The sequence below is a fragment of the Homo sapiens genome, chromosome 4 (assembly GCF_000001405.40).
Source record: "Homo sapiens chromosome 4, GRCh38.p14 Primary Assembly".
NCBI classification, from domain to species: domain Eukaryota; kingdom Metazoa; phylum Chordata; class Mammalia; order Primates; family Hominidae; genus Homo; species Homo sapiens.
Window position 1 is genome coordinate 151,827,697 of NC_000004.12, and position 13,330 is coordinate 151,841,026.

The 13,330-nt window shown below is 39.4% G+C and overlaps 2 long non-coding RNA genes across 6 annotated transcripts in view; both read left to right on the top strand.

Moving 5' to 3' along the window:
• Nucleotides 1-5,401, top strand: part of LOC105377488 (uncharacterized) — a 33,739-nt gene extending 28,338 nt beyond the window's left edge. For 2 of the 5 annotated variants that reach the window (NR_183038.1, NR_183036.1), the window contains exons 3-4: nucleotides 833-906; nucleotides 5,163-5,401. This is a non-coding gene — a long non-coding RNA (uncharacterized LOC105377488). Of the gene's footprint in view, nucleotides 1-832; nucleotides 907-5,159 lie in introns of all 5 variants that reach the window. The other 3 variants (NR_183034.1, NR_183037.1, NR_183035.1) reach the window with 3 other exon arrangements.
• LOC127898557 (uncharacterized) overlaps nucleotides 1-13,330 on the top strand; it is a 140,693-nt gene that overhangs the window by 28,338 nt on the left and 99,025 nt on the right. The window lies entirely within an intron of this gene.

Here is a 13,330-nt window from a genome sequence, read left to right on the forward strand (position 1 = left end):
CGTATTCTCTTTTAACTATTTCACTGTGAAGAAAAGAGCTTAAGTCACTTGTTCAAGTCATATAACTGATACGGGGCAGAGCTACGACTCAATCCAGTTTCTTTTGATCCAAGCCCAGTGTCATTTCCAAGCATGGCCAAGTGTTGGCTCATCCATTCATCCATCTAACACATACTTACTGAGAGAGTGACTGTATATTTTAATGTCAGGACAACATATGATATTTTAATGTGACCGTATATTTTAATGTCAGGACAACATGTGTTATAATATTTTATGTCAGGACAACATGTGAAAACTTTTATTGAACAAACTGGACTCTCTGCTTACTGAGCACCTGGCTAGCAACTGGAGCTGTATGGTGAGAAAGGCCAAATGTAGTTCTACCTTCATAGAACCTATAGGCTCATGGGGGAGTCACACATTAAATATATAATCCCCAAATTATTCATCAGCCACAATTGTGAAAGTATCAAATGTGAAAGCCCATCCGTTTTGGGCGAGGCTTCCGAATCCCATTAAATAACAACAACAATCATAATTAAGAATCAGGATTTAGCTTCCAATGCCTGGGAAGTTCAAATGAGTAAGGTAAATCTATGACACTGGTGGCCTCCTGATTGATGAGTCCACTGTAATCTCTATGCCTGGTAAACAGAGAGATCTATTTCATTCAAGGTCATCCTGGGTTGGCATGACCAACTTCAATTTCATCTGATTCTCCTTGGGTAGAAGTATTTTTGAGATGAAGAGCTGAGATCGGCTAATTTGTCAACATTACAAAGCAGGAGACTTATCCTTGTAACTCTTCTCCCTCACTGAACCTTCCCAGCAGCAGCTGCTGACATATGAACCTCGCAGATGAAGATGCCATAGCATGGCTATTTCTCGACTGCACTGCTGAAGGTAAGATAGTGAGAAAATGCTTTTTCGTAGCAATTTCTTTGTCATTTTTAACAGGGTCAAACTCAAATACTCATAAAAGGAGATTGAGAGCCAATATGCTATACCATCAAATTTAAAAAGCAAAAAAATCAAAGCCATAAACTGTTATCATTTCCAGTATGTTATTCCTTCTAATGCTAGCCCATTAGTTTCAATAAAAGAACAACAGAATGTCCATTTCACTGTAACTTGACATGCTTATTATGCCAATATGATTAGTTTTTGCAAAACACTCATGTACTGGTTATAGTTTATAGAAAAATTGATTTCACAGAACCAGATAAATTAGAATTGGAAACATTCTATTAGGTCACGAGGTGCATCCCCCGGGGCTAGTATAGAATTAATCCCCAGTTCCCAGTGTATTATCTGATGGAGTTTTCTATCAGGTTTTGATGGGCTTACATATTTATTATAGGCTGGCAATACATACCACTAAAAATTATACCAATCCATCTGAGAAATAAAATTCTAGAAAAATAAGCGTCTGCTGAGCACTAATTTTACTTTGGTGGATACATTTTTAATATACTGGTGTTTATAGCCTCTCATCTTATAAAAGGCAGGGTAGTAGCACTGGATCATGGGTTGGCATTACAATCAAATAGCGAATTTGCATATCTTAAGTTGCAAGAATTTCCCCAGACAAAATTTCCCATCAGATTTACACAAAATGTGGTATGAATTTTTTATTCCCAAGAATGGGTTATTTTGCGTAAAGGAAATTGAATCCTGTACCTCAAGCAAGTGGCTGCGATCAAACACTTGACTAGCCTGACATTTTCATCTTCTTAGGCACTGTGTACTGAGCTATGACTCCGGGACAGATATTTGCGAGAGGGTGGTGCATGCAACTCTGAACTGGAGGGCTGGGAGTGGGGTGTGGTGAGGGAGTCGGCTGGTGTTGCCTGAACTCCACATGTCCTGCTTTCTTCCTCAGCATGGCTGCTTTTGGGCAGTGACTCGGAGAGGGAGAAAAGCAGAGAAGGAAGAGATAGCTTCTCCAAGTAAAATTTATATATACTCTTCTACATAGAGTCAGCCCATAAACTCCTGAGATCTCCCAGGTCAGGGTAGGATTGCCTCTCTGCTTCCACATGTACCATTCAAGAATTCTCCTCCCCCATTGAGACCATCCTTGAAGTTCATTGTCACTCACCTATTAAAGATGTTGGAGAAAAGCACATGATGGGATTTTCCTCAATCCTGCTAGGTTGTTTCTTCACCCCTTGCTCCTTCACAGAGATAACAAGCAGAAAGTTTGATGTGGGCTCAGTTGTGGGGAGGTGGTAGGCGAGGAAGTCAGGTTATGCCTGCAAAAAAGCAGCGAGGAAGGCACAGAAGTGTAACGTTCAGCCAAATAATGCTTTGTTCCACTTGTTGTTCACATTCTCATGTCCCTGTGTGAAAGCCTAGATGAAATTCTTGTTGTTCGGGATGCGGCTGATGGGTATTATGTCTGGAGAGCATCCCAGCGAAGGTCTTATACATCTTTTTTTTTATACACCTGCATGTTAAATGAGCAAGAACACCCAGATGCTGAGTAAGACTTATGAATTTGGTGTAAATTGTGCAAAAAGTAATTTTGTATGTCCAGAAAGTAGTGCTGTCAGTAGTACAGTTTTTCTAAACTCTCCATAATTTAGGAGAATGCAAACTGAAAGGCAGTCAAACAGCCACAAGGCCTAATTGCACAGCACAGTGTATCAGTTTCGACAGGTGCCTGTCACAGAGAAGGCTCTTGCCCACTAGGGATTCTTTTATACCCAAAGCAGAAGCCAGTAAAACTGCTCGAGGAGGTTAAAAAAGGCAGGGACCTTAGCCACGTTAACCCTCAGATGGTGGCAGTAAAGACAGCTTTATCCATGGGCTCTGGCAAAGTGAAGATGGTGAAACAATTCTGAAGAAAAGAAGCCAGGGAGCTGCACTCTTGGGGTCGGACAGAATTTCAGTAGTGATCAAGGTCCACCTTTGCCACTCTAAGTGTGGCCCACGCACAAGAAGAATCAGCATGACCTGGAAACTTGTGTCACTTACAGAATCTTGAGCCCTACCTCAAACTTACTGAATCAGAAATATGCATTTTTCAAAACTCCAGGTGATTTGTTTGCACATGAAGATTTGAGAAGCACTGGTATACACCACCATTTCCCTAGTGGTTTTCCCATGGTAGAAGCCTGAACTTGCTAAGAAGGGACACAGATTTTTTAGCCCAGTGAAAAGTTGATCTCATTCTCATTTCAGTAATAGCCAATGAATGACTATGCTTTCCTTCATTACTTTTTTTTTTCTTTAATTTTTTGACCATTCTCATTGTTTCCTTTTGGGAACAATTCCTCACTGCATGTGATTCTGGCAAGACTGTCAGCCATATAGGCTGGGCATTTGATTGAGGTTAGCTAGAAACATTTTTTTTTCTCCTGGGGATTGATCTAGAGAAGAGGGTCTTTATTCTTCTGAAATCCTAAGGTGCAGGAAAAATATAGGCTTGGGACTGGGACTGGCAGGAATATCTTGGCTACCATATGTAGAGAAAATCTGCATGAGAATGAAGCCAGAGGAGCCAGGCAGAGCAGAAAGGTAGAGAGAGAGAAATCATTTGAGCACCTGAGACCAGTTGTGCCCAAAGGCAGACAACCCTGGGACTTCCGAGTTGAGCGAGCCAGTAAATTCAGTTTAGCTGAAAGCAGTTTTAGGTTAGTTTTTTGTCATTTGTAGCTTAAAAAAAAAAGTGGTTCTGACTAATATATTCCTGAAATTGGATCATCAGATCTTCCAAACCAGAAACTTCGACATCTGGAAACCTAGAAATAAATGAAGAGAATAAATTCATTATAAAGTTCACAACCTGTAATTTGACCACTGTGTGAGTGAGTTTGTGTGAGTATCTGTAAGAATAATCTGAGTATAAATGTAGAAGATTTAAAACTTTTAGGCACTCATGAGCCCTAAATACCAATTATCTGTATAATTGCAGCAGGCTGTGTTTATTTTCTGGATTTAGAGACAATGCCTATTGAAATTAATATTCAAATTTATGCCAACTAATATGCAAATCAGGTTGGCTTTGGTGCTTATAAACAAGAGAATAGGATTGCAGCACTGGCATTTCAATGGTGCTGATGCTTTGATTAACGAAGACAAAGAGGGCTAGAATGCAGATGAAACATGTTTCCTTGGACTACCCAATGCAAATGGGAAATTTATAGCTCTGTAAACTGTTTTAAAACATAAAACAATACCTCAATTTAATATAGCAGCTTAACCATTCATTAATTTACTCAGTGCAAACACTGCAACTTTCAGAAATGATGCTACCCATAAATACAATCTACAACCACAAAAAATTGAAAAAAACACAAAAGAAAATTGTGCTTTTACTCCTGCCAAATTTCAAAATCTAAATCTACAATTGTTTGTTCCACTTGAAACACTGAAGCCTGCTTCTCTTCTATAATCAGTTGATATCCACTCTTGGACATCTATTTCACTCTTATGTGTCTAGTTCAATATTATGTATGGTATGTATACGTATTTTTAAGTTATCCATTAGAATTAGGTTAAGTTATAACAGAAACTTGAAAAGTAGTAGCTTAAATAAGGTAGAAATGTTTTTATTTCTTAATAAAAAATAATGTATGGAGTTGGACAGCCCCGGGCCAGTAGAATGCCTCCATAGTTATTGAGAACTAAAGATTCTTCCAGATTTTCAAACACAGAGTATACAATGTGGTGCTCATCCTCTACGTTCAAGACAACTGCTGGGTCTCTCTAGCCATAAAATCCAGTTTCCCAGCAGCAGGATGGAAAAAAAGAAGAGTTTGCCACTTTTCTTTTTTTTTTTCTTTTAGAAAAAACTTGCCAGAGGAAATTCCAAAAGGTTGTACTTTTACAAAGTATATCTGCTTACATCTCATTAATCAGAATTTATTTATATGCCATGCGTAGCTACGGGAGAGGCTGGAAGATGTGGTCTTTTAGCTGGGAGGCCATGTGCCTTGATAAAAATCATTATTCTGTTAATTTGGGAGAGAAACAGAGAACAGGAATGTCATTAGATAACTCTGCTCCAAGTATTAAATATGTATGTGTTTATCAATTTATTTTGTGTTTCCCCCACTGGAAACTAGCTCCACATGGGCAAAGACTTTGTTTTCTTCATGGTTGTACCCTTAATATTATTTTATATTTCCCTTCTCTGACTTTTTTTCCAGTAGTTTAAGAACATCAACCAGACTGCTGTGTTGAGAAGAATACAGACACTGCATTCAGATTCAGTGAGAAAGAGTGCTTTGATCAACTAATATTTTCTGCAGTGGTCCATCCATGTGTGTTGGGTTTTACTGTTCCTGGCTTAAGCATTCTCTACAACCATGAGCTTGCAACTAAAATGCTGAGAAATGTATGGCTACCATAAAGCCAGTTTAAATCTATATGCCAAAAGGCCTTATTTAAATTTGTTGTGTCCAGTGTTTTATTCTAACTAAAGATAGTATTCTCTGCAAGTTTTTTTTTCTTATGTGGAACTCTCTTGCACAGTTGTAGATTTTGCAGGGTTCCAGAGTGTTGCTAAAGGAATTATGTGCAAATTCCAAGTTGGCAAATTCTTACCAGAAAGTTGCTGGGAAAAGAGAGTTTTGCTTTTCTTTAAAAGACAAAATGGAAAAACAGGTTATGAGTCTTATGCTGTCAGAACAGAGATGCAATTCTATGACATGTGTATCTTCTGATTCATTTAGAAAGCAAGAGGGGGCCTAGAGGAGTGATAAGGGCTTTTCAAGTTCAACACAAATGCTAGAAAGAAAAGCTTAGGCTTTCTCTTTATTTAGCTCCAACAAGCCAAGCATGGGGACAAAAAGGCCAGAGTTAAATTAAACTACAATTAAAAATAGCTAAGACTATTGAGTAAAGCACCAAATTGCATCTAAAAAATGATGTCTTTAAAAAGCTGTCATTGCAGCAACCTTCTTTTTGTGCCCCACACAACACATTTCATCAGTCTTGGTGACAAGACAGTGACTTGATGAGGCTGTGATTCTTTCAGAGGGAGGGAATTCTGCAACTCTCCACAAAGATAAACTGGAATTTTCAGAGTATGGTTTGAAAAGCCCCCTTAAAGACTCATACACATCCCTTGGGGCACGTGTCCCTCTCTCTCATGACTTACCCACTTGTGAGTCAGGAATTATTGCCTTATTGGAATGATCTGCGTTGCTGTTTAATTTTTGTCTTGTTTAGCTGCATCCATGGAGAATGGCCCATTTGTAAATAATATCTGGTAATTCTGGGTCTTAGTTTGGATTCTTTCAAAAACAAAGTTTAAGGGTCTTGGAAGCAGATTATTTATCTGGGAGGTGGTCTCAGAAGGAGGAGTGAGAAAACAGATTAAGACAGGGAAGGAGGAAAATCCAATATATGAGTGTGTTATTGAGGTCACACTATGGGCAACAGGGTCTTGATTATACCAGGACCCAGAAAAGTGTACAAATATGTCCCAGAATTGTCACTTTGAAGTATGGGAATTTGGCGCATTTCTGCACTGGCACCCTTCCTATTGGTTGTGCATTGCCCCAGGGGCATTAGCATACAGCAGCCCCTGACTTTGGGGCTGTGTATTTGTGTGGACAGAGTACTCCCTGACATCAGAGAACCCTGCTCATTACTGGCTTGCAGAAAGGCTCATGAGACCTTGATTGAGATGGACAATGACAGAACAAGGTGAGTCTGGCATTTACTCGGGGCTGTCTGCTGCAGCTACAGCTAAAGTCAGAGGTGGATTGAGGTAGAATGATGGGGAGGGAGAAGGTGGGTACCAGAGGTGTCTGCTGCAGTCTCTGACTGTGAACTGGAACTCAGTTAATGCTCAGCAGTTTGATTTAGGCCTCATGGCTGTCATCAATGCATTTTTTTTTTTTTGAGCTGGAGTCTCGCTCTGTTGCCAGGCTGGAGTACAGTGGTGCGATCTCAGCTCACTGCAACCTCCACCTCCTGGGTTCAAGTGATTCTCCTGCCTCAGCCTCCTGAGTAGCTGGGACCATAGGCATGCACCACCATACCCAGCTAAGTTTTGTATTTTTATTAGAGATAGGGTTTCACCATGTTGGCCAGGATGGTCTCAATCTCTTGACCTCACGATCCGCCCGCCTAGGCCTCCCAAAGTGCTGGGATTACAGGCGTGAGCCACTACGCCTGGCCCATCAATGCATTTGATTGTATATTTTTAACTAAGGAGACAATTTAAAATTGGTGTTAACCTAAAGTTAACAAAGTGAGGACTAACATCACAATAGCCATCTTACATCTTATACAGATGTAATTTAAATCCTTGGATTCTCCTCTCTCTTCCTTCTTCTTGTTTTAACTTTCAAATATCCCTTCTGCATGCTACTATCTCTACCCAAGGGTAGGGATGGAAAAGCAAGGTGGTGAAAATAGAATCTGTCAAATACTGTCACTTGTTAGAAACTCTTTTAAAAGTCCTTATGGAATAGGAAGCTGAGATTGTTGGCCAAAATGAGATTTGGGGATTACAGGCGATTTGAATTTCTCCATGGTATTCAATTTCTATAGTTAATTGGGACATGACTCATAAGTCTAAATAATTGGCATAGAATGCCAAAAAGAAAGATGCATGAACTGCTTATTATTGATGCAGCTGCATTTCCTGTGTGTGGTGGCCATGGTGGGCAAAGGATGCAGGGGCAGCAGAGCCTGGTGGAGACTGCAAGGATTTGTGGCTCTGAGTCTGCCCTTGGCTAGCCATGAGACACAGGGCAAGATAACCATCCTCACGGAGCCTCCGTTTCCTCAGCTATAAGATAGAAGTAATAATAGCTTCCTTGCAGGGTCATTGAGAGGATTAAGTATAATTATGCAAAATGTTTGGCATCTTGAAACTGTACTATTAACAAGCCAATGGATAATAAATGCAAAATCTCATTTCTATTTTGTATCCTACTTTGACTTAGTTTCTGGGTAAAGTTTTCATTTACTGAAACCAACTGCTTTGACTCATTTAGACTTAGTCATTGAATGTAAAATTAGCAAGTCCCTTGGGTTGATATTGAGCTGAAAATGCAGATGCCAGGAGGTCAGCACATTCCCCATTTTACCCATTCCAAGAAGATGGAGCCATCTCAGTGAACAGAACGGCTGCTCCTAAACACAAAGCATCCAGCAGTAATTGGTCCCACAGCAGTCCCCCTCCTGTGGCCACCGCTCATATTCTGGACATGGTGAGAAGAAAGGCAGGTCCAGAGCAGGATGGATGGGGGCAACCTTTGGTGGTTCCTCATCATCCGAGGCTGTCTGGATCTATCATAGGGGAGGATTTTGGCTCAGTCTGCAGCCCAAGTTAGGCCACTCCAGGAAGCAACAGGGCCCTGGTCTTCAAATCTAGAGGTCCATGAAGACTTTCCAAGAGATACACAGGCATGTTTAGATTTAAGGGACTCTATTTCCAGTTCCTCAACTTTCATATGTACTTCTTCTAAACTAAGTAGTGGTGACCTGAAAACAAGACTGTTTCTCTCTTCCATATTCCCTTTAATAGTCTCCCTTCTACTTCACTAGAGAAAAGCAAGTGTCTCTCACCTATTTCAAAACATACCACAGTGCATTGCCCAGGATGTCAAAAACTCTGTGACTCCAAACAAAGGGACAAGTAGAAATACACTACTTTTTTTGTACTACCTTTTGTTTGTTTGCTTGTTTTTTGATTGGTTGGTTTTTTTTTTTTTTTTTTTTTGACAGGTGGTGCAATCTCAGCTCACTGCAGCCTCAATCTCCCAGGCTTAAGCAATTCTCTCACCTCAGCCTCCTGAGTAGCTGGGATTACAGGTATGCACCACCATGCCTGGCTAATTTTTGTATTTTTTGTAGAGATGGGGTTTCTCCATGTTACCCAGACTGGTCTCTAACTCCAGGGCTCAAGTGATCTGCCCACCTCAGCCGGGCCTCTACTTTTTTTTTTTTTAACTTTTATCTTAAGTTCAGGGATACATGTGCAGGTTTGTATCGGTTAACTCATGTCATAGGGTTTTGTTGTACAGATTGTTTCATCACCCAGGTACTAAGCCTAATACCCATTAGTTATTTTTGTCTGATCCTCTCCCTCCTCCCACCCTCCACCCTGTGAAAAGCTCCAGTGTCTGTTGCTCCCCTCTTTGTGTCCATGTATTCTCATCATTTAGCTCCCACTTGTAAGTGAGAACATGCAGTGTTTGGTTTTCTGTTCCTGCGTTAGTTTGCTAAGGATAATGGCCTCCAGTTCCATCCACGTTCCTGTAAAGCACATAATCTCATTCCTTTTTTTATGGCTGTACAGAGTACACTATTTTTTTTAAAGGACCTTGAATTTTCCATAATCCACATATTTCTGAAGAAACATTTCCTGCTGAAGGAGATCCCTGTGACTCTGAAAAGGAATAACAAGGGCACGATGTTTTTCAGTGGTAAGGCTGGGAGGGTTACCTGTCTATCTGTAGAGGTGGCTGTTACAGAGGTATGTCTCAACACATTTATTTGGATTAATAAATGAAGCCAGATATGTGTGACAAAAAATAAGCCTGATTTGGCCAACTGCTTTGACAATGAGGACCTTTTATATGGCAGATATTTTCCATTAATCAGTGAGGTAAACGTGTATCTCTTAAGTTGAATTAAAAATATTTAAAACGTGATAATACTAAGGCATTTAATAAGAAATATAAATATTAGAAAAGGCCTAGTGAAATAAGCAATAATTTGGTTTTCCCAATCGTTATGTATGTATCAGGTTAAACAAGGTACTCCTCAGTGAATGAGCAGACTGTACAAATGACAGTCATTTCATACATGCAGCAAAAGATCATATAAAAAAAATTCAGTGTCACTGATCATTAGAGAAATGGAAGTCAAAACCACAATGAGATACCATCTCACACCAGTGAGAATGACTATTATGAAAAAGTCAAAAAATAGCAGGTGCTGGCAAGGTTGTGGAGAAAAAGGAATGCTTATAAACTGTTGGTGGGAGTGTAAATTAGTTCAACCATTGAGGAAGACAGTGTGGAGATTCCTGAAAGACCTAAAGACAGAAATAGCATTTGACCCAGCAATCCCATTACTGGGTATATACCCAAAGGAATATAAATCGTTCTATTATAAAGACTCATGCACACATGTGTTCATTGCAGCACTGTTCACAATAGCAAAAACATGGAATCAACCTAATGATAGATTCCATCAATGACAGACTGGATAAAGAAACTGCGGTACATATACACCACAGAATACTATGCAGCCATAAAAAAGAACGAGATCATGTCCTTTGCAGGGACATGAATGAGCTGGAGGCCATTGTACTTAGCAAACTAATGCAGGAACAGAAAACCAAATACTGCATGTTCTCACTTATAAGTGAGAGCTAAATGATGGGAACACATGGACACAAAGAGGGGAACAAAACACATTGGGGCTTATCAGAGAGTAGAGGGTGGGAGGAGGGAGAGGATCAGAAAAAATAACTAATGGGTACTGGGTTTGATACCTGGGTGACAAAATAATCTGTACAACAAACTCCCAAGACACATATTTACCTATGTAACAAACCTGCACATGTACTTCTGAACTTGAAATAAAAGCTTAAAAAAGTGCACAGATTGCAAGCATACAACACAATGAATTCCCACAACCTGAACACACCAGTGTAACAACACCCGGGTCAGAAAACAGAACAAGGTCAGCAGTTCAGAAGCCTTCCTTGTGATCCTTTCCAATCACTACCCACCGTCCAAGGTGAACCACCATCCTCATCAGTACCAGTACAGATTAGTTCTCCCTTCTTTTTGTTATTTATGTAAATGGAATTATATAGTTTTAAAAAAGATAGTAATTTGATAAGTTTTGATAGAAACTTTTTAGTATATGTGTCAGCATTTAAGAAAGCAGATGATTCTAGTAAGTGGTTACCAAATTCTTTGGTTAGTTGGGTGGGTTTCAACTCTTTGCTTTCAATAACATTAAAGGAGGACTTAATGGAGTTGTCAGCTCTCAGACATTGAAATAATTTATGATGAAAGAATAACTTTGTTATTCATGGAATGAATATCAGAAAGGGTTTAAAGAATTGACTAGTATCTATAAAACATGCATATTTGCCTTCCATACATACCTTCCATAAATGCATAAATATCTATATTTATATGAGGAAAGTATCTCAACAATTATATTTTAAAACAAAGTAAGTAGAAGTAAAATCGTTTCTGAAACTGTCTTATTCTAGCAAAAAGTAATGTGAATCCATAGATTCATCAATAATTGAAAAACAAAGCCTCATTTATCTCATTGCAAGCTACATTTTGGATAAAATTTGCCTCTTAACAATTATTTACCATGATTTATAATATATTGATATTTTATTGCCAAGAAGTTTATACTCGTATAAAATTCTGTGGGCAAAATAGAATAAAAATATGAGTTCAAAGAGAAATAAGAATGGTGTAAAACTTGGAACTGTAAGGGAAGATCACATCTACATACTTTAAAAAATGATGGGCACCAAAATAGTATTTTAGTTCAATTAGGTAAATGTAAGAGTGATATGATTTTTTAAGCCTGCATTTAAAATAATAATGCAAAAAAGTACATCCTTTGCAAATATTTAAACTTACAAATGAAGAATTTAAATACTAAATGTGTTGAAGGGTGTTATGGTCTGAATGTGCCCCCACAATTCATGTGTTGGAAACTTACTCCTCAGTGCAGCAGTGATGGGAGGTGTTGCCTTTTGGGAGATGTTTAGGTCCTGAGGGCTCTGACTTCATAGATAGATTATGGCTGCTATAAAAAGAGCTTTTGGGAGGGGGTTGCTCTCTTTCACTCTTCTGCCATGTGAGGACACAACATTCATCCTTCTATTCATCAGATGCTCGTGCCTTGATCTTGGGCTTCCCAGCCTCAGAGCTGTGAGAGAATACATTTCTGTTCTTTATAAATTACCCAGTCCAGGGTATTCTGTTACAGCAGCACAAAGTGAACTAAGATAAGGGATATATTAGTTTTTCAAAATTCTATTAGAGGATATTTGAGAAAGAAAGAAGAAAAAAAACCACTGCAGTAGGGCAGGGGAACCCAACCCCATTGACTAGTACTGGTACATGGCCTGTTAGGAACCAGGCTGCACAGCAGTAGGTGAGCAGCAGGCAAACGAGTGAAGCTTTGTCTGTATTTATAGCCACTCCCCATCGCTCGCATTACTGCCTGAGCTCTGCCTCCTGTCAGATCAGTGGCCGCATTAGATTTTCATAGGACCATGAATCCTATTGTGAACTGTGCATGCGAGGGATCTAGGCTGCACACTCCTTACGAGAATCTAATGCCTGATGATCTGTCACTGTCTCCCATCACCCCCAGATGGGACCATCTAGTTGCAGGAAAACAAGCTCAGGGTTCCCATTGATTCTACATTATGGTGAATTGTACAATTATTTATATTACAATGTAATATTATATCTATTACCATGTAATAATAATAGAAATAAGGTGCACAATAAATGTAATGTGCTTGAATCATCCCTAAACCATCCTCCCCACCCCCAGTCTGTGGAAAAATTGTCTTTCAGGAAACTGGAACACAACTAGTGACATGAGAGGAGGGTAGGAAAAAAACAAGGTCCCAAACAGGAGTCATGTCAGGGAGCTCAGATTTCATTTTAGATGCCATGGAAATCCTTGGAAAGATTTCTATGTACTAACTAATGTACAACAGGAGGCCATATTGTAACTCAAATAAGAGATAATGGTGGCTTTGACGGAGATGATATCAGTAAAGATGGAGAGAAATGGACAGATTTGAAGGTTTTTTTTTGTTTTTGCTACTTTTGGGATGTTCACAATTCGATGGGGTGACTGAACAAACATCCCTCATATCCAATCCAATCCATCAACACATCATATCTCCAGGGCCAAACATAAAAGTGTTTACTGCATAAATGAGTGGGATCCCACAAATCTAGACTTTGCCTCTTGGATATACACATGGCTGGGATTTCCCACAAATGGGCTGAATCTGTTACATTAAGGAAATGGAGAAGATTTAAAAAAAAAAACTTTTTTAACCCATAAGAGAGCCTCGCTCATCAGGTTTTCTGCAGGACTGTGAGGGGAATGGATTTGAGAAATCCTTCTTTCTGCCAAAGAGCCGCACCAGTAGTGGGAATAATCTGACTCAGGGAGAACCTGGCTGTCCTGTATCATTCTGCTTAGTTTTCTCTTAGGTTTTACATTTCTTCCAGTTCGTTGTCCGTTTCAGATCTCTTTACACCACAGGATAGAATGTAAGAGTGGGAATCTGCCACAACACCTTCGGAGAAAATAGATTCTAGATATAGCCAATAAATCCAGC